The sequence below is a fragment of the Homo sapiens genome, chromosome 16 (genome assembly GCF_000001405.40).
Source record: "Homo sapiens chromosome 16, GRCh38.p14 Primary Assembly".
Taxonomy (NCBI): domain Eukaryota; kingdom Metazoa; phylum Chordata; class Mammalia; order Primates; family Hominidae; genus Homo; species Homo sapiens.
In genome coordinates, this window is record NC_000016.10 from 49848741 (window position 1) to 49873115 (window position 24375).

Here is a 24375-nt window from a genome sequence, read left to right on the forward strand (position 1 = left end):
TTGTCTGGTGGTTCATAATAATAACTTCGGGGGCCCACAATTAGTGTCTCGGACGGAGTTTCCTGATGGATCCCTGTCATCTGGAGGCAGTTGGCAGCAGGGCAGCACCTCGCACCGCAGTGTATCAGGCAGGAGGATGCTCCAACAACCCGCAGCTCGAAGGTCACTGCTTCTTGGATGACCAGGTTTAGAGAACTAAGGAATTAGGGTTTCCTCTTTCTGGGGAAGGCAGGGAGGGACAGAAGATAGGGGGCAGGCATCTAAAAAATATCCACCTGAACCATATTCAGCTTTGAATATTTTTCAAGGTTTTCTCCTCCTGTTCAGTAGCAAGATTTTGCACACTTAGACGGGAATGCAAATCACTCCTGAGTCCTTAGTGGGCACACTGGGATCACCTGATAGGATCGCCTTATGATTGGAGTTTGCCATCTGCAAAGGGAGAAGGACAGATGACATGATTTTCTTATGAGACCCCTTCTACCCTTCTACATGACGTCATTCAGGATCCCAAATCCAGAACTCAATGGCTCCAGCCTCTGAGATACAAATGCCTATAAATCTTCTGTAAGAAAAAACTGTTTGCCAGGGTCCCATCGACCCAGAACCTGGTTCAGCCCAGGTTGTAGTCTCCACAAAAAAAAGAAAGAAAGAAAACTCTGAATTTGCCAACCTCAATGACCCCAAATCCAGAGAACAACCCACTTGATAAGAGATTATCAACACTGCAATCTCATTTGATGGGTTTTTATGTATCTTGGCTGCTTTAGTCACTATATCAATAAGAAGCCACTGAAATGTGAATGAGTTGAAGAATTCGGAGATAATGATGTGGTTGCCTTTGAATTTGACTTGTCACAATTGAAACCAGAGTGTGTTTGCCTAGCTAGGATGTTCAGACTCTTGAGGGGGGTGAGGCAAGAGGGAGGGGAGGTAAACAGAGGGAGGCAGGTTAAAAAAGAAAGAAAACGAAACAACAACCACAACAACAAAGGGAAATTATATCTTTAAAAAGAGAATGAAAGACATTGTTACCTCCAAAGTCAACTTGGTAACTGAGCTCCGACATTGTGTAATTGACTTTGCAAGTAGAACAACAGCAACGTAACAAAGAAAATGTCAGTGTTTTCACAGCACCAATCTATAACGCTGGGAGGCCGTCCCGCTGTCAGCGAGGGCTGACAATACAATAGCTTTCAAAGGGATATTACCATCATGCTTTTATTCCTGACATCAATCAAGACAAAGAGAATCCTTTTCACAAGACATTAAAAATCAAACCTTTGTGCAAGAAGATAGGTAAAACAGCATTCTCCTTAAAGACAGCCACATGGAGCAATCAGCTAATTGGCGCTCCTTGAAAGCGGTAAAGTATTTTTATTTACTGAGTGTACAACCCCAATCGTTGGCTGCCACCGATCCTGGCAGGTAAGCTATGAATCAAAAGTTTCCATCAGCATTTCCTCACTCACTTCACCCTGCCTCTCCCACAGTAGGCTGAGGGAGCTGACAGCCAGCCCCAAAAACTTCAAGCGGGATGTAACCAATCCAGGTTCAATTCATCCATTTTGGGTGGGAAACTTCTCTGATTACCCGCTAACATGTCCATGCACAAGATGCCCTTGCAAGCTGACGGGAATTTGCAGAAATTGTCAAATTCTCCAACCACAGTGTATCGGGGTTTTCCTGGCTACCCAAATAATGGGGACCCCACTAACAGTTTTCAAGGTATTCTACTGTAATCAACCTAGACTCACAGATACGAAGGAACCCTGATATCTTCTGCAAATGTTTTCAAGACATGAAGATAATACCCTTTGCAAACACCAGCGTGCCGTGGACAAGGCTGGGCTTTGCTTCAGCCAGTGGCCAGGAAAGCCAAGTCCATCCTAACCTATGTCAAAGAGTGAACTAAACGCACCCACCACCTTGGCAAAAACGATGGGGCCATCAGGAAATCCAGCCATCCTCTGCCTGCTTACTTTCGAGACAGTTTCAGATGCCTGCATGTCAGAAGTTGTTGACACTTACAGAAAACTGCAAGTCCAGAAGCAGGAAGTTAGAGAGCCTCATGTTTCAAAGAGGTCATTTCCCAGACACTTTCCAAGCCACTGACATCTCACAGCCTTCCAACCTTCCAAGATGCCATGTCCCCACATCCAGTCCAGGCTTGACAGAGCCACTGGTCTAGGTGGTCACAAGTCTCAGACCATTGTTGAGGAGGAGTGGGAGCAAGAACTATCTCTGCAGGAGGGCTGTCGGGAACTCAGAGCCGAAAGGCTCTGTGACTTGCCCCTTTGGTACCCTACAGACCACCTGCCACAAAGTCCAGTCACTCAAAGACAGGGAAAGCACTCTCAGCATCTGCGGCAGAAAAGGATGTTTTTACTTTTCAGCTATAATGGGATACCGTTGTTTTATTTTTAAACAGAATTTGAACAGGTGCCGTTCACTTCACTACAGAATGGACAGAAATTTTGAAAGAAGAGGGAACTGGTCCTAACACTGCCTTGAAAAAGCATATACTCCCACCACCACCACCTAAATCAGCCTTTTTCAAAGAGCCGGGGAGCATGTCTGCACCATCAGCCTCAGTGGTAGGTTCCTTTCGTTTACACATCCAAATGAACAGTTAAGAGAAATCAATGCATCTAATTGCCAGACTATTAAATCCTACATCAGGGGAAGAATTCCACAGCCACTAGCTTAAGAGTTGGCTACCGATATAGCAATTATTGCAACTTTCTATTAGATTGAACCAGATCCCCAGCCTTTCGTCTCCAGCTAGGAACGCTGTACTCAAGTGCTCCAGTTTCCTGCCTTCCTGGTTCCCCCTCCTCCTCCTCCTCTGTTAACACACTGTAGCATGCCACAACATTGCCAGGGCTGGCTGCTTCTTCTGAATTACTTTATGACTGTAAAGTCACCCGCATTTTGCACCTTTCATTATGAATGCACGCTAGGCACCTCATGGTTAACCGTTTAGCAGGATTCCCCTGCCAGAGGCACATAGTTATCTTATTTTATTGCTTATTAAGTTTTTGCAAGGAAACAGGTGTAAGAATCTAAACAGCAATTACTAGACGTAAAGGATGTTTTCTAGAATGAAACAGGCCCTACCAAAGCTGGGAATCGATAACTTAATTGAGGAGGGGGGATTAAACATTAGGATTAAATGTTAGCTACCCCACTCCACATAGAAAGCTAAAGACCCTATAAAGGATTTGTTTTGCCCTTCCTACAAGATCATGTACATTTAGCCAAACAAATCTCGACAATTTATACTTGTATGTGGTCTCAGCTGAATCGAGAAACCTGTAACCTCAGAACGCCTCTATTTATTACATCTCAATTATTTCCATGGAAACACGCGCAGTGTTCCCAAGTCCCTAGACCACCAAATTTATAAGATGGACTTAGAGGAGCTACACGCTGGCAGAAGAGGAAGACAAAGAAGGGGAAGGGAGTGCCGAGAGGTCACTGGGGGTACTTTGGGACGTTGGGGTGGGCGGGTGTATGGACATAGCCTGAGCGCTAATTAATATTAAGAACTGTAATTAACAGGCAGTTGCTAGAGAGAGAAAATTGACAGTATTAAAATTATTCAAAAGTTTTAAGCTAAGGCAAGGGAAAAGATGTATCAATTTTCTCTATAAATGAAGAGGCTGTTGCATGGATCTGAGAAAGCCATGGGGTGAAAGGGGACAGGCCTCCTTAATGTTGAGTGACAGAGAGAACTGCAGTGGTAATCGTTAACCAAACCACCTGATATCATCGGCCGAAATAACATCAGTGAGCATGATGAGAACAGCCCGGGAAAATGAGGCCAAAATTATCAAAGAGAACAAATCACTGCAACCACCACACCATACCACACCACCAGGAAACAAAAAAGGGGAGAAAGGTGTAGGGAGGGAAAATCGGTCAGAAAAATGTGACTTTTATAACACTCCCGGCTTTAGGGTTGTTTTTTTTTAAATAAAATTACAAGGCTTCTGAAAACCAATGAGGCTATTCTCCCCCCTCCCCTAGTGCCCCAACCCCCTTCCCTATTTACTAGGTGTCCTCCCTGTGAGCTGGGTTTTCCAAAGAAGGACAAACACACTGCGGGGACAAGGGACCCCACTCCAGAAGGGAGGTTGTGTCCGTGAGTGGGAAGTGAGACCACCCCAGCCCCCAGAGGCCAGTTTTATTTTCAAAGCAGCAATGCCTGTGCTTTCAAATCACACTTTCTGAGCATCCATTCGAAATTGTTGTATTTCTGTCTTTCCTTCCTGCTATGGACTTTCACATTTCCGAGATCAACTACAAATTACAGTCAAGCGACTTTCACAGCAGAATGCTCGGGGCCGGGGAAGTCCACAAAGCCTCTACATTAGCCCTGACACACAGCAGTGGAGGCAAAATAAAATAAAATAAAATGTAAAAGACACCGCTGTTCCTTAAGAAGCACTTTCAAGCATCTTTAAAGGTGAAGACCTTGTCGTTTCAAACACTTGGTGTGGAGCTGTCCACACTCAAGCACACACTTTTGAATATTGCTTAAGAGAAGGGGCGGGGCGGGGGGGGAGCAGTTCTTGAAAAGCAATAAATCCCTCACCTGCTGGAACTCTTATCTATCCAAATTATCTTCTCTCTTAATTCCTCCCTTGATAAGTGGCCACATCTCCACCCTCTTCACCCCAGTAAACAGAATAAAAGGTAAAATGGTGAGAGACAAGGGTTGTAGCTGCTTTTGGAAAATGCAAAAAGCCATGGGAAGAATCAGGGGGTCTCTGACTCTGCGGACAGAAAGGCTCTGTGTGGCTGATATTTACAACACCGAGTCTCGAAATGCCTCCACTGGTCTCCTGTTCACCTTGCTGCCTTTCTCCTACCAACCTGCTTGAACTGTCTGCTACACATACACACATACACATTTGAGAGAGGCACTCACTAAAAATCATTTCAAGGCTCATTTCATGAAAGGCTGAAGACCAATTCTTGAGTCCTTCTCAGAGATCCACAGAGTGGTTTTAGAACTCGGTTCAAGCAACTTTGAAACACCCACCCATCTGTTCACTGCAAACTGCTCTCCTTTTGCTTTCTGGGTCTCGCCGTCTAACGTAAGGAGGTTTGGAGAAGTGGATTGGAAGTCTAGGTAAGCAAGCTTTGCAAACTCAAAATCAACTGCCTGAGTTAAATAAAACTGTTTTTCCAACCAGAAATTCCAATTCCACATTTTCTTCTGGGTCGCCTCTTAAGTGGCTCCTGAAGGAGTGAGCAGTGAGCCAGGGAAAGAGAAAAGAAATCCAGTATTATTTCAAGCCGTACAGCCCTTCCATCAGCAAAAGAGAAACATCCACCCTTCTTTCCCGTCCTCTTCTTGGAGTCTCTCTTCTGGTTTCCCTGTCCCCCAATCAGAACACCCTCTGAACCCCCAGTTCTGTGGAGCAGGCCAGGCTGTCCCGGATTGGGAGACCAGCCAGGGTGAGGCGAACAAGACCAACTTCTCTCAGGGAAAAGGAGGAGTAGGAACGGGCCGGGCGCTCCGTTTGGACTCAGTTGGTCTCCTTCTAATATGACGGGGAGGATCTCTGCTGGGCCGGGGGCAGTCCCTCCGGGGACTTCAGGAGGACAGAACTGACGAGTGTCTCAAGATCCTCCTTGCCAGATTCAGTTCCAGCCATTCCAGCCAGGCGCAAGGCTGGCAGGAAGGGAGCGGGGCCCCAGCGCCTTCCCGCGCAGGCCTCCAGGAAATGAACTTTTCAGAGCAGAACTGGGCTCAGGCCAGAGGTCATCAGGGGAGATGGGAGAAGACAAGGGCCTGGGGGCTTTTGGCTCCGTAGACTTAGCCGCTCTCATCGTTCCCCCCTTCCTCGATCATCTCCCATCTCACAGCCGAGCGCCCGGGCACCCAACCGAGGGGCTAGAATCGGGACAAAGCAGCAGGCAAGGCCTGGAAAGGCCAGCCGCGGGGAGAGGAGGCCAGGGGAGGGGCTCTGCTGCCGGCGCGCGGCCTTTCCCCGGGGCCTCTACTCTCCAGGGGTCCCCTCGAGCTGGGGGCCCTCGCTGGAAATAGAAAGCAAAGCGTGGAGACGAAGGGATGGGTGTGTGTATCTATATATCTGCAGCTCCCCACAAACGCGCGCACCCCGGGGAGCCAGCACAGAAAGCCGGCCTGGGTGTCGAGGGTGCCGGTGCCCGGGGTCAGATCCAGGGTGCCGGTGCCCGGGGTCAGATCCGGGGCGCCCTCCGCGGAGGGGCGCGCACCGCGGCCGCTGAGCTCCCCTGAGGACCTGCGTCCCGCCGGCGCCGTGCAGACAATGAACTCCTGGCGGAGGCTCCCTGCCCGGTGGGCCTCGGTGGAGGAGGCAGGAAGTGCAGGGGCCCGGGCCGGGAGAAGGCCTGGGCAGGGGCGGGAGGGGGCGCCAGGCGGCCGGGGCGAGGGCGCGGCGCCCGGGGCGCTCGCCGACAGCGCCCGCCGCTCCCCGCGTCCTCGGGCGACCAGGCAGGGGCCAGAGAGAGCCAGCGAGGCCCGGGGCCAGCGAGGAGCGGTCGGCCTGCCGGGCGCCCGTCCTCGCCGCCTCTTCCTTCCTCCTGTCGCCCGCCCGCCGCCGCCGAGATTCGCAATCCCCGCCAAGTCGGGCCAGCACCCCTTGATTGGCCACACGGGCCCGGGCCCCGCACGGAGGGAGCGGCAAGGGCCCCTTAGCGGCGCCCCCAGGCCTGGGTCCCCCAAGGGCGACGGCGCCGAGTCCGGGCAGGGAGGGTGTCCGCGGCGTACCCCCTCCGCCGCCGCCGCCGCCGCCGCCGCCTCCGCCTCCTGCTCCCGGCTTCCTCCTCCCCCTCCTCCGCCTCCGCCTCCGCCTCCGCCTCCTCTGCCGCCTCCTCCTCCTCCTCTCGGCTCGCTCGCGCGGGTCCCCGGCAGCCAGCCCGCTCGCCGGTCCCTCCTCCCTCGCTCCCTCCCTCCTCGCTCGCTCGCTCGCGCCTCCGCCGGGCCTCGCTCGCTCACCTTTCACCGAGCGCGGCTTCGCCTGCTTCCGCCTGGACATGTCCGGGGCTCCGGGCGCTCCGTCGCCCTCCGCAGCCGGCTCCCCCCGCCGCCCCCCGCCGCTCCGGGCAGCCCTTCTCCCCCTTCTCCTCCGCCTGTCTCTTGGAAACTTTTTTTTTTGCAGCCCGGTTGGCGGCTGTGGGGAGCGGACCGCAGGTCCGGGGCGGCCTCCCTTGGGGGGGCAGCCCGGGCCGGCCGAGGCCGCTCGAAGGCGGGGGGAGGCCCGGGGGGCGCGCCGGGGCCCTGCCTGTTGCAATGCGGCAGTCCGGGGCTCCCGATCCAAGCGGCGGTCCCAGCGGCGCGGGGAGTCCGGAGGCCACTCGGCCGAGCCGAGTTATGCAAAAAAAAAAAAAAAAAAAAAAAAAAAAAAGCCGCCCCCCTCCTCCTCCCAACCCCCCGCCGGCCCCCGGCCCCTGCGGCCCCCTCCTTCCCTCCCCCACCCTACCGCCACCCTCACCCTCCTCCTCCTTCTCCTCCTCCTCCGCCCCTTGCCGGATTTTTGTGCAAAGTTTGCAGGCGTCCGGCCACGCAGCCCGGTGCGGAGCTCACAATGAACCCATCTGAGGAGGGGGAACGGGGCTGGAGTCGAGGGTATCTCAAGGGGGGAGGAGACCGGGAGGCGGTCGGGAGCGCGGAAGCTCAGTACCCCCCAGGAAAAAAAAAAAAAAGAAGCCTTCGAATTATCCCCTGCCGCACAAAAAAAAATAATAAATATTAATGGCTCAAAAATGCCCAAGCGCCTGGTTTGGAGATTATGATGGATGGGGGGCGGGGGTCCCTCAACTCAGCCTACTTGGAGGGGAGGCTCGAAACGGCCGCAGTGGCTCGGAAGCCGCGGCTCGGGGCCCCTGGCTCACGCCCCCTTCTCTGGCTCTCGGATCGGCCCGGCGCCGGCCCCCCGGAGGAGGAAGGGGCGCGCGGGGGCGCTCAGGCGGCGGCCGGCAGGCGCGCCCGTGCCCCGGGCATCGCTCAGCCCGTGCGCCGGGCCGCCGCTGCCTGCCCTCGGGCTGCGGTGCTCAGCGCGAGGCGCGCAGCCGATCCCCAGGCCGGTGCCAAGTCGCCGGCCCCGCTAGCTGCCTCCATGGGCCAGGGGCTCGGAGAGGGGGGAGGCGGCGGCCGCGGTGGCGGAAGAGGAGGACGAGCAGGCGGCGGCGGCGGCGGCCGGGCTCCCGTCCTCCTGGGCAGCGGCGGCGGCGGCTGCGCCCCGGCTCCTCCGCGCTCCAGCCGGCGCCGGCCCGCCCGCCAGCCTCCCTCGCGCTCCTGTCTTCTTTGTGGTCGCTGGCTCTCCTCCTCCCGATCCGGCTGCTGGGGCTGCACTGCAGAGACACATAATAAAGCCAGGCTTGGCTGGAAATGTAGCCGGGTCCCAGCAGGAGGATGTGAGGAGCGGAGTCCCGGCGGGGGAGCGCTCTGATCCCGTGGGGCGCCCCGCACTGCTCCGGCTCGGATCAGACGGAGAGAGGGCCAACAGCACCGAGCGATGGACAGCGCTGGAAATACAGCTCCGGCCGCCCGCAAAACCCGGACCGTGGTGGCGGCGGCGGCGGCGGCGGCAGGCACGGCGCGGGCGCGGGCACCGCACCAGCACGCGGGGCCGGGGCTCGGGCGCTGGCTGCACCGGGGGCAGGAGGAGGGAACACACTTAGGGCCCACGCGGCTGTCAAGCTCGCCAAGACGCATGAGCCTCACAAACTGTAAAAAGTGAAAGAATGGGGGAGCAAACGGAGTTGGGCTGCCCTAGTATTGCCACCTCGCGATGTATGCCTCACGCACATGAACTATCCAGGGACCTGGCTCTGCCAGGTTGGCTTTTGCCCACCGGTCGGTGTTCAAAGACCACCCCTGCCCCACATCCAACAAATTCTTCCACCACTGGGCTAACCCCGTGCGCCCCCTACACCCTTATTTGTAGAATTCTCGCGCCTGGTGTGCACTTCCTCTGTCCGACTGTAAAAGGAACACCTTACCCCTGAGACCTTGCAGGAGCACCCCCTCCCCGCGCAGTTGTCAGAAGAAATAAACCAGCTGCTACTTTCTGCGAGGTTTTACCCAGCCGCCAGGGGGCGCCGCGCGTCCCCCGCAGCTCCTGAACCGGCTGAGACTCTGGTCTCCGGGCAGGCCCGGGAAGGGTTCTGACTTGGGAAAAGTCTTCCCCAGACGGCTCCCCTAAACCGTTCCTCGGAGCCTCTCCCTCCCCAACTAGCTGCAGGCGGCCAGGTCTCGGGTGGGGAGCGGCCCCGACCTCGCCCCCCTCCCGGGTGAGTGGCGCCACCTTGGGCCGGCGCGCCCCGGAGCCAGGAGAACGGAGCGGGTGCACGGCGCGGCGCTGGGGGTTATCAATCTCTCGGATCGATAAGTTGCCACTTGGAGAGGGGAGGGCTACGTCCCCTCGGAGACGAGTTACCCAGGGCAACCTTTCACGGAAAAACCCGCTGCCCGCCGAGAACAGCGCCGGGGCCGGCCGGGCCGCGGCGCCCGCCCCACGCAGGGTGCCCGCGCCCCGCCGCTCCCCAGCCTGCCGGCCAGCCGGGCCCGGCCCCGCTCAGCTCTCTCCGCGGTCCCGCCGGGCCCTGCTCGCCAACCCCGTGCTGGGCTGATTGCCGAGGTAGATGCCACCCACGCACCCCCGCGGCTGGGGAGCGCGAGCTGGAGGATGCGGAGAGGCCTGAGGCAGGGGGGCCAGGCGCGCGCGCCCTAGGCAGTCTCAGAGGTAGAGTCGGGTGACGGGCTAAACGCGACGCCTAGCTGGACACCCTGACAGCGGCAGCGGGCGAGCGAGGCTCCCCAGAGGGGCGGAGGCCAGGACCGAGACGTCCCCTAACTAGACCTAAGCCTTGAGGGCCGCCCCTCCCCAGGTTAGCGCTACCATCCCCAGGCCACAGTCCTCCCCAGCTTGTGCGTCCAAGAGTGTCCAACATCTCGGCCTTCCCGGAGGGAATAGGAGCCCCCCCCCCCACGCCCCCGCGGCCCAGGGATGGACGGAGTTGGGCTGAACCGGGGGTGCCAAGGGCCGAGGCGAGGGCAGGGGCCGCGAGGCGCCTGGGAAGGAGCCAGGAAGGAGGGGCAGAATCAGCCGCTCCCCCACCCCCGCCGGCGCCTGGGATCGAGGCCCGCGGAGAGTGGCTGACAGGCGGCAGATGGCACACGCTGGGGGAGGGGGACGATTGGCCTCGGCTCTGGGGTGCCCCCGCCGCGGGCTGCCTCTGCTAGAGGTAGGGGGCGGGGAACGGCCCCCAGCTCGCCCGCCCAGGCTTTCTGGGGGGCTGGAGATTGCGGATCCTGCCCAGCCGGGAGTCTGGAGAGTGAGGGGGCGGACAAAAGGAGCGCGGTGGGGAATGCGTGTGCGGGACGAAAGAGGGGCCGTCGGGGGAGAGGGGTGGTTGGAGTCCCACGGGGCTGCCCTTTTCCACCCCTAGGGGCCTGCTGAAGACTGAGGACGGAGGTGGGGGCAACAGGATGGGGAGCCCGCAATAGCCCATCCTGACCTAATCCGAAAGGACGAGATCCTGGAGCCGCTCACAAAGTTTTCCGGGCCCCCTCCCACGCGTCGCCTGCACGTATGTCCGTTTCCCGACGCTCCGCCCTCCCCCGCCAAGTTCGGCGTCTCCCAGCTCAGCGGCAGTCAGGGTGCAGAGGGAGCCCGACCTTGTCCCCGCCTCGGCCCGTCCCGCTTCTTCTGAAGCTTGTTTCATTTTTAACTCCTTCCAGAAAAATGTTGTTTTAAGGAAAATCTCAAAGGAACAAAAAGCCAATAGTGCCTTCCTTATTTGCAATCCCCACCCACCTCTGAGCTCGGACTGCAAGGGCCTCAAGGGACACCAGGTGACACCTGGGCCTTGCTTCTCACGGGTGACCTTGGACCAGAAAGGGTCATTTTCAGGTGTGTTTTATACCCCCCACCTGCCTACTTCTGGCAGGGAATAGGGGGTCCAGTCCCCTCCCCTATGAGAAGGGGCCCCTCTGGGCTCTCCTTCTTCGCCGGAAAGTGAACAGCTGCTCCTGCCCTGCTTGGAGGAGTGGCTGTGGAAACCCACTGTAAGCTGTAAGGAGCAGGAGCCACCATCATAAATGCAAGAGAAATTCCAAGTTGAGGTTTTTGAGAACAAGTAAGACTTTGCCCACAAAAAGGTGCATCTTCCTTCAAAGTCATAACTTGGCTGGAAGAGGGGAAACCTCTTGCCCAAGGCGGTGCCTTCCCCAACCATGCTCCTTAAGAATGTTTTTCCTACATGTGCAGCAACTGAGGCTTCTTCCTTGAATTTTCAAGAGGCAGGCGTCATTTTGAGCAGTCTGGTGAATGCACGAGGGTCTGGTGGGCTACAAAAACAAGATAGGACAATAAAGAAAACAAGGCAGTGTTCACTTTGTGGCCTCAGACCTATGATCCCTGCAGAGCTCCCAGAGTTGCTCAAGGGATGCTTTCCAGTAAGTGACCAAATGCCCACCTTGGCCAGGTGCCGTGGCTCACACCTGTAATCCCAGCGCTTTGGGAAGATGAAACGGATGGATCACCTGCTAGGGAGGCCCTGGCTTATGCCTGTCATCCCAGCACTTTGGGAGGCTGAGATGGGTGGATCATCTGAGGTCATGAGTTCGAGACCAGCCCCAGCAACATGTTGAAACCCTGTCTCTACTAAAAATACAAAAATTATCTGGGCATGGTGGCACGTGCCTTGGTGGCATATACCTGTAGTCCCAGCTACTCGAGAGACTGAGGCATGACAATCACTTGAACCTGGGAGGCCGAGGTTGCAGTGAGCTGAGATCATGCCACTGCACTCCAGCCTGGGTGACAAAGTAAGACTCCATCTCAAAAAAAAAAAAAAAGAAAAGAAAAAGAAAAAACAAATGCCCACCTTTTCCCCTTCCAGGCACACACACATCACTTACTTTAAATGACAACAGTCACTTGAATATATACGATCTGGAATGAGTGGTTTTTGTTTACTGCTTTATTACTTGAAACTCCCAGTCCCTACTGTGGAGAATTTGCATCAGCCTATGAGGAGCAGTCATTTTGGGGAGGGATGATTTATCCCTTCAGCTTTTCCCCAGAGAATAAGTTCACTGCTTTGTTCCTGTGTTTATTCAACATTTATTTATGATTTTGCACTTACTGTGTGCCAAGACTGAGGGTAAAACAATGAATGAGAAAGATCGCAGTTCCTCCCTGTTGGGGCTTGCCCTCTAGTTGTAGGGGGTAAGGGGGGTGGCTGACTTAATAAATGGCCACGCAAGGCCAGTCGCGGTGGCACACATCTGTAATCTCAGCACTTTGGGAGGCTGAGATGGGTGGATCACTTGAGGTCTGGAGTTCGAGACCAGCCTGGCCAACATGGTGAAAGTCTCTACTAAAAATACAAAAATTAGCTGGGCGTGGTGGTGGGTGTCTGTAATCCCAGCTACTCAGGAGACTGAGGCATGAGAATTGCTTGAGCCCAGGAGGCAGAGGTTGCAGTGAGCCAGGATCACGCCACTGCACTCCAGCCTGGGCAACAGAGTGAGACTCTGTCTCAAATAAATAAATAAATAGCCACAAAAATAATTATTTACTTATAGTTTTGATCAATCCTGAGAAGAAATTAAAATATAGTACAAAGAGGCCACAAAACAGAGTCTCAAAGGTGGTCTGCTGAGAGCCCTATGGAGGAGGAGGAAGGAGCCAAGCGGGGGGATGGAGAATAGAGTTCCCAGCTGTGAACAGTGTGTGCAAAGGGCCTGGGGCACAAAGGAGCTGGAGGCTTCTCAGCGAGAGTTGTCACAGCTCAGGCAAAGGCCACCATGGCCAGGCTTAGGAGCCAATTCCATCCATTTTCCAGTCCAGCTTCCCTCACCACCTAGCTGAAGAACCCGGAGCAAGGGAGCCCGTGTTCCAGTTTTGCATCTGCAAAATGAGAAAACGGATAGCACGGATCTCATAGGGTGGTCCTGAGGGTTTCTCATCTGTCCATGCTGCCTGTCTGGCCACAAGACAGCAGTCATCTGGCCTTCGCTGTCCTCCCTTACCTTTTCTCTCTCACCTTCACCACCTCCGAGGTCAATCATGTTCATAGAGATGCCAGTTACACAACTGCAGATCCCCTCCTTGCACCAATAAGTTCCTCTTTCTCCCTGGTATTTCCTTGATTCAGACTTGCCCTTGCTTTCTAGAAGCTTTCTATCTTCTTTATGTCTATTGAGAAGGTTTTGTGCATTTGCGTTTTATTATTTTATTTATTTGTTTATTTATTTTTTGAGACAGAGTCTTGTTGTATCGCCCAGGCTGGAGTGCAGTGGCACGATCTCGGCTCACTGCAACCTCCGCCTCCCAGATTCAAACAATTTACCTGCTTCAGTCTCCCAACTAGCTGAGATTACAGGCATGCGCCACCATGCCCAGCTAATTCTTTTGTATTTTTAGTAGAAATGAGGTTTCATCATATTGGCCAGGCTAGTTGTGTTTTATTTTAATGATGCATCTATCTGTAGAATCCAAGTTTCCCTGAACACTCCTGTTCTCAGGGTACTGAGGAAGCAATGACCATGCTCTCTGGTCAAGCCTTCCAGGAGATGGCCTAGCAGCATGATTGTTAACCAGCAGCTGCCACAAGCCCAGGTCTTCCTCACCTCTTCATCATTATTTGCAGGGTTCTTCTCACAAGACTTGGTCTTGAAGCTCCTGAGGGTTCAGAAGAGAGGAAGGCAAGATCGAAAAGAGAGTCCTTTCCTCTGCTTTTAGTTCTCAGCCTGGTGTTTTGAGGAGGGAAATCCCTGCAGATGCTCCTGAAATTCCCCAGAGGTCCCCATTGTCCCCCCCTCCCCATGACCACAACTCAAAGAGGCCAGCAGTGGACCCAGACATCTGCCTCTCTGGGGCTCTCTGGGGCTGTAGTAGCCTGGTGCCAAAAACAATAAGCCGGGTGTGGGAACCTCCTTGTCTTCTCTGGTTTCTGTTCAGCTGGGAAAGCCATTTCTATTTTATCATCATTATTATAATCATTTAATTCTTCAAACATCGGCAGTCTTTGCAGGGAACACCCACAAGGCAGCAAGGAAACCAACTTGGCGGGAGGATCCCCATGGACTCATACCCTCAGAAAGCTTGAAACTCCAGGCTCTGGCCCTGAGAGCATCTACCTCAACCACCTGTAGCTGCCCAGGTGTGCAGCACGCTCGAGCCTGGGGTCACTTGGCTCAGAGTCACTTGCTGCTTTGTTCTCTTAAAATACTTATTTTATAATGTTTGTGATTCTCTTTACAATTTTTTTTCAGTATGATTTTTGTAAATTTTAATACTTTTTTTTTTTTTGAGATGGAGTCTTGCTCTGTGTCACCCAGGCTGGAGTGCAGTAGCGCAATCTCAGCTCACTGCAACCTCCGCCTTCCAGGCTCAAGTGATTCTCCTGCCTCAGCTTCCCGAGTAGCTGGGATTACAGGCACCCACCACCATGCCCAGCTAATTTTTGTATTTTTAGTAGAGACAGGGTTTCACCATGTTGGGCAGGCTGGTCTCGAATTCCTGACCTCAAGTGATCCACCTGCCTCAGCCTCCCAAAGTGCTGGGATTACAGGCATGAGCCACTGTGCCTGGACTTTTTAAGAAAATGTTTAAAACTTCTGTTTAATGAATGTGATGTGATGTCAAATTCTTTCAGCTTTACCCAGAAGTGGTAAGGCAAAATGCTCTGTAGCATGCAAATTTCATGACTCAAACACTTCAGGACTGGTCACAAGTCCTTCCACCATCAGTAGCTTAACCAACCACCATCCAATCTAATTAGCAAACTGGACATCAAAAAATGTGATATGTTTAGCAGTGGGCTCTCATTGGTGAAACTGAAAGCACTCATGTACAGTTTAGCAAAAGTGATCCAGAGACACACCCCACCTTGCATGAACAGGGACTATAAAGCCAGAGAGGCTGGGATAAGCTGTATCTTTAAGGCGAACCCCCTGCACACATACCTTGAGCCCTAAGGGGCCCTGAGTCCAGCCATTGAGTAGGATTTCAGCTGCATGGTGCCCAGTAGAGGACACAGATTCCTGACTGGAAATGTGATGGGTATCTCCATAGTGTGCCTTTCACACTGGAACTGGTCAGAGAGTCTGGAAGGATAGAGAACTGAGACTTCATGGAGCTCACAAAAGTGGTTGCAGGATCTGTTTTGTGCTTAAAATGGTCCTACTTTGCTACTGGACATCCAGGTTTTTTATTTTTTATTTATTCATTTTTTTTTGAGACAGGGTCACACTGAGTTGCCCAGGCTGGAGTGCTGTGGCATGATCATAGCTCACTGTAGCCTCGACCTCCCCAGCACAAGCGATCCTCCCACCTCAGCCTCCTAAGTAGCTGGGACCACAGGTACACACCACCACACCCAGAGAATTTTTGTATTTTTTATAGAGACAGCGTTTCACCACATTGGTCAGGCTGGTCTCGAATTCCTGGCCTCAAGCAATCTGCCTGCCTCAGCCTTCCAAAATGCTAGGATTACAGACATGAGCCACAGTGCTCAGCCAATGTCTGTTTCATAATGGTCAGTGTGTGCGGCAGAATTTGGCCTTCAGTATCACCTGGTAGAGAGGTTGTGGGGGAGTAGAAAACCTTCATCCACCTCTGACCTCTTTTGTGACCACTATTATCTACTGAAAAGGATGAAACTGGCTTAGATCATTTTGGGGGGAAAAATCTGGTATTTATTTCTTTCCTTGTATAAATACTCTTTCCCCACCATCATGGAAAGAACCTACTAGATGCCCAGGCCTGGGAGAAATACCATGGAGATTTCAGAAGAACATCAGAAGAACATCAGCATGTGTGGTCCCTGTACCGGCACATATAATGCCCTTAGACACCCAATGCCTCCAGGAAGGAGGGAGAGAAAGAGGATTATCAGGGCTGAGTCTACACTGCTCCCCATTGCATCCCTAGTACCCTGCAGATGCTCAGAACTTAGGGGTGGCTTTGGGAGAAAAAACATCAATCTGTGTGGCACACAGAGGAAGTGCCCAAATACCTCCCTGGGCAATCAACCATTGTTATATGAAGGCTTTCTGCCGGACAACAGAGGCTGATTAGAAGGCTTTGAGCTGGGCATTCTTTCACACACCTGTAATCCCAGTTCTTTGGGAGGCCAAGGTGGGCAGATCACTTGAGGTCAGGAGTTCGAGACCAGCCTGGCCAACATGGTGAAACCCCATCCCTACCGAAAATACAAAAATTATCTGGGCGTGATGGTGTGCACCTGTAATCCCAGCTATTCAGGAGGCTGAGGCAGGAGAATCACTTGAACCCGGAGGTGGAGGTTGCAGTGAGCTGAGATCGTGCCACTATACTCTAGCCTGCGTGACAGAGAAAGACTGTCTCAAAAAAAAAAAAAAGAAAGAAAACAAAAGAAAGAAAGCTTGCCCACCCAACTAGGTCAAACACTCTTTCAGGGCAGAGCCCTCAATTTTGCTCTATACCCCTTTCACACAAGGGTGCCCACTGCCTGCCCAGTGAGTGCTGGTGACTGGAAAAGCTGGCAGGACACTGTCCAGAGGTCAGCAGTGGGCTCTAGACACACAGGGGAAAGAGCTGGTGAATTGAAATCCCAGCCTTACCTTGGGCAAGACAACCTTACCTATAAAATGAGAGGATAGTGTCCCTGGCACAGGGTGGTTGTAATCCATAAGACAATGTCACCATAGTGACCTGCCTCCATGATATGAAAGGGGCATGGAATCAGCTCATGCTGTAACACACCTAGCACGCAGCACTTTGCACATAGTAGGTGCTTGATCAATGTTCATTATAAAGTTTTGATTGTGGTTCCTTTTCAGTAATGGGTATGGCTGAGACTCTGCTGAGGGGGTGCTGACAAGGAAGTAAGCTCTTTTGCAAGGACCTGAACTAAGGCTAGAGAAGAGAGCAGGTAAGCAGCTTCCTGAGAGCCCCAGAACACAAGCACCTAGTTTTATTTGTTCCTCCGTTCCCTGGATTCCTTCCCTAGGGCCTTCATATTGTGAGGGCTTAATTCACATTAGCTATTGTTAATGTTTGTAGGCAGAGCACACACAACAGCCACTCAATCAGTTTAGGTTCCTGGCCGTGGTTCACACCCATAATCTCAGCACTTTGTGAGGTTGACTGCTTGATCCCAGGCATTCAAGAGCAGCCTGGGCAACATAGAGAGACCCCCATCTCTAGAAAAATAAAAATGGCCAGGTGTGGTGGCTCACACTTGTAATCCCAGCACTTTGGGAGGCCAAGGCAGGTGGATCTTTTGAGGTCAGGAGTTTGAGACCAGCCTGGCCAACATGGTGAAACCCATCTCTACTAAAAATACAAAAATTAGCCGGACATGGTGGTAGATACCTGTAATCCCAGGTACTCGGGAGGCAGAGGTTGCAGTGAGCTGAGATCATACTACTACACTCCAGCCTGGGTGACAGAGTGAGACTCTGTCTCAAAAATAAATGAATAAATAAATAAAAAATAAAAACCAAATTAGCCAGGTGTGGTGGTGTGTGCCTGTGGTTCCAGCTACTGAGAACCTGGGTGGAAGGATGGCTTGAACCCAGGAGTTCAAGGCTGCAGCGTGATATGATTGCTGGGTGACAAAGCAAGACCTTGTCTTTTAAAAAATAAAAAAGTTTAGGTTCCCTGGGTGGCCTTGGGCAAACCCTCTCAGTGCCTCAGTCTCCCCATTTGTGAAATCCCCCTGGTTCTCTGTCTGAAGGAAGAAGCACATCTGGGCTTATTCCTACCCTCTGGCCCAACCAGCACCAGGCCACAGTTCAAAGCCTGAGGAGCAGAGGAAATTCAGGGAAAAGGCCACCAAAGGGAGGTTATGGGGCTTGGGCCCCACTGGGATGGGAGCAGATGGGGCAGGACTCAGACCTCAGTGGACACAGCCCGGTGCAGTAATTCCCGGGGCTGCCGCTGCCTCCGCTGAGCGGCCCAGCCCCATCCTGGCCATGCGCTTTGGGACATGCCAGGGCCTGGCTTCCCAGGGGCCAGAGGGAGCTCCCGCAGGGGACTTCAAAAGCCCAAATGCCTTTCAGAAAGGAACTAAAACTTTCTGCTTAACCAAAGCCTCCACAGGAGAAGAACAGGCCTAGCCCTTTTCTTTTTAAGTCTCTTTATTTTCCAGCCGGCTGGCCTGGTCATTCTCTTTTTTTCCTATTATAAACGGTCCCAGCTGCAACACACAGGGAAAAAAAAAAAAAAAAAAAAAAAAAAACATCTCCCAGGCCTGGGCAGGGGCCGGTTGCAGCCGCAGCCGCCTGCCTGGCCTCCTGCAGCAGACAAAGGCGGCTCTGGCCTCCGGCACCCACTGGGAGAGGCCCTGGAGCCCCTGCCCAGAGCCAAGACCATAGCAGGAGTAAGGGGAAGATTCAGGAAGTTTCTGCCTGCACTCCAAACCTTCTCCTGCCCCTGGGAGCAGAGCCACCATTTGGCCAAGCCAAGGACTTCTGGAGGGCCTGTTTGTCAAGGGCAGAAAATGAACAATTAGGTCCCCCTTACAAAAGCAACAGGATTCTGGGTCTAAAGGACCTGGAAGGGCCTTATGAGATGATCTAGCCTTGGATTAGAAAGATGGAGAAACTGATGTCTAGCAAGGAACAGATTTGCCCAAGGTCACATTGCCAGCTAATGGCAGAGCTGGCCTTGGAGCCAGTACTCTCAATTCCAAAACCAGATAACAAAGAAATGTTGGGGGAGGGAAGGCAGGTGAGGGAACTGAACATCCTGAAGTTGCTAGATGTTGGTGGGGGGTAGGTGTCAGGGTGTCATTGCTTTTAGTCCTGGGTGAGACCGACATCTGGTGATCTGAATGCAGACAGCCCGCTTTGAACTCAGCTCCTCTGCCTCCCAGCAAGTAATTTCATTTATCTGTGCCTCAGTTTCCTCATCTGTGAAAATGGGGGTATACTCATATCTACCAGGTAGAGCTGCTGTAAGGATTAAAGGAGCCTATAGATAAAACACTTAGAATAGTGCTGAAGAAAGTGACATCTTACTATCACAAATGCTTTCTTCACCTAACCCATGTTTGCAACCTCCGGTGGGGGCCCTGCTGTGACAGCCACTGGGCCAGTGGTGGGCACCAGCTGGGCAAGGCAGAAAAGCCCCTGGTCTGATGGAACTGCCTGGTCATGGCGGGGGGAGTGGGGGGTCACACTAACTGACACGCTGGCTTGTTAGCCCAGAGCCGGCACGTAGCACACGCTAATCTTCCATTCTCCTAGTGGGAGGTTAGCAGGGACCACAAACTCAGCTGTCCCCAGCTGTCCCCAGATCCTAACTGACCAGGCAGGAGAAGGCAAGCAGGCTGGGATCTGCGTGGAGTCAAAGGGAGTGTGTTCCCTGCAAAGACGGGGGAAGCCACCCTGCAGTGCCCCTTACAGACTGTAACCATGTTTCTAAGTGGGACTAAGCCCCAGGCCCACAGTTTGCGACCTCCCCAGCCTGGTGAGTCTGGCTCATTCTCGTTGCCTGCCACGGTGCCAGGGAGGCAGGGGTGGTGTGTGAAGAAGAGGGAGCCCTTATTCTGGCGCTCTTGCGGTGTTCCATTCCCCCGCCGCCCATTCCCACCCCAAGAGGCTCTCCAACTTTGCACCACCTCCCAGCGCTAGAAGCGGAGCGGCCCTGGGCATGGTCTGCGAGCTAGGGGTGCGGGGCCGCCGGCGGGCCGCAGCCAGGTGCCCCTCGCTGCTCTTGGCTCTTGCACTCTCGCCAAGCCCCGTGAGCAGCGCGGCCCAAGCTCCCGCAGTGGCCCGTGAGCAGCGCGGCCCAAGCTCCCGCAGTGGCCCACAGGGACACTGCCTCCCGTGGGGCGCCAACCCGCTCTCAAAAAGCCAGCAAGCCCGAAAACAAACTCTCCTGATCTTCTGCCCTGGGAACCCCATGGACCTCACAGAAACCTTGTCTGAAGCAGGAGGTGGGAGGAAGAGGACCCAGATCCCCTGGGCTAAGGACAGCCCCCTCCTTTCCACGCTTTTCTCCCAGCGCCCCACTTCCAAGGCCCAGCCCAATATCCTGCAGAGTGGTCTTCCTGTACCGTTTAAGTTCACACCCATGATGCAGTCATTATCTCCATTTTTCGTGAGAAAATCGAGTCTCAGAGAGGCCATGTCACTGGTCCAAGGTCACACAGCCCTTAAGGAATAGAGCTGGGATGGAAATCAAGGCAAATCTTCCTCCAAAGCTGGAGGTGTTCGCCTGCCCAGCCAGTTAATTTCAGTTTCTGTAACTTGCCTGAAGCATAGTTGACATATTGATTTTAGATGGATGGACGTTTAGATAGACATATAAACAGATAGATAAAGATGGCATCTGGGAACCACAGACGATTATATCAGGTGTCAGGTTGGGGGCACAGCATGTCCTTCCTCTAAATCTCCATCAACCCCCAAATTCTTTTGTGTTCATGGTTAATTAGGAAAGATTTTGAACATGCAGAAAATAATAATAGCTGATACTTATGTGCACCTAATAGATATGAAAATGTTACATTTGTTGGGGAGTGGGGTGGTGGAGTGGGGTGGGTTAGTTGATATGGACAACTGATGTTTTCTCAATCTTACTCAAATGTAGCTTCAAGTCAAATCACCTAGGTTCCCTGTACCCCTCCAACTAGACCTAAGCCCATTTAAGAATGCTGCTACAGGGGTCAGGGGCCTGCAGGGGTAACCAGCAGGGGGTCAGGGGCCTGCAGGGGTAACCAGCAGGGCTGGGAAAGCCTCCAGTGTTAGGTATTCATCAAAGCTGCAGGGGCCTTGACTGAAATATCAGATCTTGAACATACCACCCTTAGGAGAAAGGCCCTATGAACAGACAGCAGAGATAGCAAGGGTCCTGATTTACAGGGGTGCAACCTGAGGCTGGAAAACGACTTGTCTGGGGCCAAAGATTCCGCCCTTTCTTTCTCTTCTCCACCCCTGCTTCCCTGTTTCCCCCTTGCTTCCCTTGGAAGAGTAGATGCAGAAAGGAAGGCGGCACCTGTTGAGGGAGGGGCCCTGGAAGATGAAACTCCTGGCAAGAGGGAAGGAGCCAGGCTATGCCTGGCTTCCAGGGAAGAAGGCTGCAGGGCCCTGGGGGTCAGCTGCCCTGCCTGCTTCATGGGGCTTCAGGGCTCTGTTGGCCCCTGCAGAGATGCTGAGCAGGGATACCCAGCAGAGCATCTGGAAATTGGGAGGGGGGTGTTCACAGGCACCCTCAGGAACGACAGACAGGCAACATGTCAGGCAGGTTTGTATCCCTAGACATGAGGAAGGGGCCGCCTGCCACCATGGGATGTCCACCTGGATCAGGAGGTAGATGGTGACTCTCAAGCATAAGACCCTCCGTCTCTTTCTTTGGACACTCCCCGCACACGCACACTTTTTGGGGGTCATTCTTGTATGAATATATCTGTCCAGCTAGCCTCAAGGTTTGGGAATCTGGAACCAGAAATGCAGAACCCTCTCCTGGGCAGGTCCCTGGACTCACTTGAACTTTCAGAGAAGCCACAGGGTCAAAGCAGTGAGATGATAGCAACAAGAATAATACTAAGAATAACAATTTAGGAATTTTTCTGTTGCAAATGATTTTTTTAAAAAAATCTGGCTTAAACAAAAACTGTGTGGTTCCAGATTCAGGCTTGAGAGGATCCAGATATTCAAATCATATCACAAAGGACACCATCTCTCCATCATTCAGCCTGGCTCTCCTGCATAGTGGCTTCATTCTCAGACTCCACACAGTGACAGCATGGCTGCCAGGGTCCAGCTGTCCTGACAGTTTCAAGGTCAATGAGAAAGAGTCGGCCAGATGTGGTGGCTCATGCCTGTAATCCCAGCACTCTGGGAGGCCAAAGTGGAATGACTGCTTGAGCCTAGGAGTTTGAGACCAGCCTGGACAACATAAAGAGACCCCATCTCTACAAAAAATAAAAATAAAAATTGGCCGGGCATGGTGGTGTGTGTCTGTAGTCCCAGCTACTCAAAAGGCTGAGGTAGGAGGATGGCTTGAGCCCAGGAGGTTGAGGCTGCAGTAAGCTACGATTTAGCCACTGCACTCCAGCCTGGGTGACAGAGCAATTCCCTGCCTCAAAAAAGAAAAGAAAGAGTGAGCCTCTTTCTTCAACTGTTTTTTGTTTTTTTCTTTGAGATGGAGTCTCGCTCTGTCACCCAGGCTGGAGAGCAATGGCGTGATCTCAGCTCATTGCAACCTCTGCCTCCCAGGTTCAAGTGATTCTCCTGCCTCAGCCTCCCGAGTAGCTGGGATTACAGGCATGTGCCACTATGCCCGGCTAATTTTTGTATTTTTTGTAGAGTCGGGGTTTCACCATGTTGGCCAGGCTGGTTATAAGCCTGGCCATTAGATTATAAGCTCCATGAGGACAGGGACTTCTTGAATCTTATTCACGGCTCTGTCCTCTGTACCTAGAGCAAACCTAGAACAGCAAAGGCACTGAAACAATTTTTTATTGGAAAGAACACAATTTTACCCTCCCAGAAGCAGAAAATGTGGAGGTGGAGGGAGCAGACAGTTGTTCTCAAGCTCTGACCAGCTCACCCAAGATAAAAACAATGTTATCCTTGGTCCCTGTCACTAGCTTCTCATTGTTTATATGCAAATTTGCTTTTGCACATTTACAATAGTATCTTGTATAAGACATTAGGTTACATGTTTTCAGTTAACATTATGCAGTAGATACTTTTCCATTTGGGTTGTAGACCAAGCTGTTTTCCCCCTTACTTATCTAGCCTTTTCCCACTCCTCACTTCCAAGGCCAGCAGCCTGGTTTCCATGCTCACAGGTCATACACAAACAGAAGTACCTGTATGGGAAGGGGCTGGGCTGGTACTAGCGTGATAAGGTGCTTCACACTGAAGAGGCTGGTCACTTGCCCACCTCTGGCTCTCCTCACTGGACTTAACTACACATCCTAGAAGCCCTTCCAGGCACTTGGAATAGTGCTAACTAGGGCGGGCGCGGTGGCTCATGCCTGTAATCCCGGTACTTTGGGAGGCCAAGGCAGGCGGATCATGAGGTCAGGAGTTTGAGACGAGCCTGGCCAATATGGTAAAACCCTGTCTCTACTAAAACCACAAAAATTAGCCGGGCGTGGTGGTGGGCGCCTGTCCTCCCAGCTACTTGGGAGGCTGAGGCAGGAGAATCACTTGAACCCGAGAGGCGGAGGTTGCAGTGAGCTGAGATTGCACCACTACACTCCAGCCTGGGTGACAGAGAAAGACTCCATCTCAAAAAAAGAAAGAAAGAAAGAAATAGTGCTAACTCATCATTTTTTCATGGCCACATAATACTGCACATGTAAATGTATCACAATTAAACTTTTCATCTTGGGTATAAATGTTTCCATGCTTTTGTTCCTTCATAAAAACACTTTAAGGGCTGGGCATTGTGGCTCACATCTGTAATCCCAGCATTTTGGGAGGTTGAGATCAGAGGATAGCTTGAGCATAGGAGTTCAAGATCAGCCTGAGCAACACAGCAAGACCCCATCTCTACAAAAAGTTTAAAAATCAGTGGGACATGCTGGCATGTGCTTGTAGTTCCACTTACTCAGGAGGCTAGGGCCACAGGGTGGCTTGAGCCCAGTTCGAGGCTTCAGGCATTTCACTCCACTCCAGCCTGGGTAACAGAGTAAGACCCTGTCTCAAACACACACACACACACACACACACACACTTTAATAAGTATCCTGGTATATTTACCCTTAAGTCTCAGGATGGAATCTCAAGAGTGCGACTGCCGGAAAAAGGGTATGTTTTTTGGTTTGTATGGTTTTGTTTATACAGGTTGAATATACCTAATCTGAAAATCCAAAGTCCAAAATGCTTCAAAATCCAAAACCTTTTTTTTTTTTTTTTTTTGAGACAGAGTCTCGCTCTGTCACCCAGACTGGAGTGCAGCGGCGCTATCTCCACTCACTGCAAGCTTCGCCCCCCGGGTTTACGCCATTCTCCTGCCTCAGCCTCCCGAGTAGCTGGGACTACAGGGCCTGCCACCACGCCCGGCTAATTTTTTTGTACTTTTAGTAGAGACGGGGTTTCACCGTGTTCGCCAGGATGGTCTCGATCTGCTGACCTCATGATCCACCTGCCTTGGACTCCCAAAGTGTTGGGATTACAGGCGTGAGCCACCGCACCCAGCCAATCCAAAACTTTTTGAGTGCTGACATGATTCTCAAAGAAAATGCTCACTGAGGCATTTCAGATTTCAGATTTTTGAGTTAGAGATGTTTAACTGGTAAATATAATGCAGATATTCCAAAATCTGGAAAAAAAAAAAAAAGAAATCTGAAACATTTTTGGTTCCAAGCATTTCAGACAAGGGCTACTCAACCTGAATTAATATATACTGCCAAGTT

General features: G+C 52.7%; 1 protein-coding gene across 6 annotated transcripts in view, besides 1 other annotated feature; it reads right to left on the reverse strand.

The window, feature by feature from the left end:
- ZNF423 (zinc finger protein 423) overlaps positions 1–10539 on the reverse strand; it is a 371756-nt gene extending 361217 nt beyond the window's left edge. For 4 of the 6 annotated variants that reach the window (NM_001379286.1, XM_047433808.1, XM_047433805.1 and 1 more), the window contains exon 1: positions 6995–7372. In NM_001379286.1, the coding sequence (NP_001366215.1) occupies positions 6995–7034 (40 nt within the window). In that variant the 5' untranslated portion in view covers positions 7035–7372. Of the gene's footprint in view, positions 1–6994; positions 7373–9000; positions 9180–10518 lie in introns of those variants that run through there. The other 2 variants (XM_047433809.1, NM_001271620.2) reach the window with 2 other exon arrangements.
- Positions 6616–6875: a silencer, noted in NCBI's record as "silent region_7462". NCBI's record gives its function as "represses an Ori minimal core promoter by ATAC-STARR-seq in GM12878 lymphoblastoid cells {active_cell/tissue: GM12878}" and the evidence as "EXISTENCE:reporter gene assay evidence [ECO:0000049][PMID:35858748]".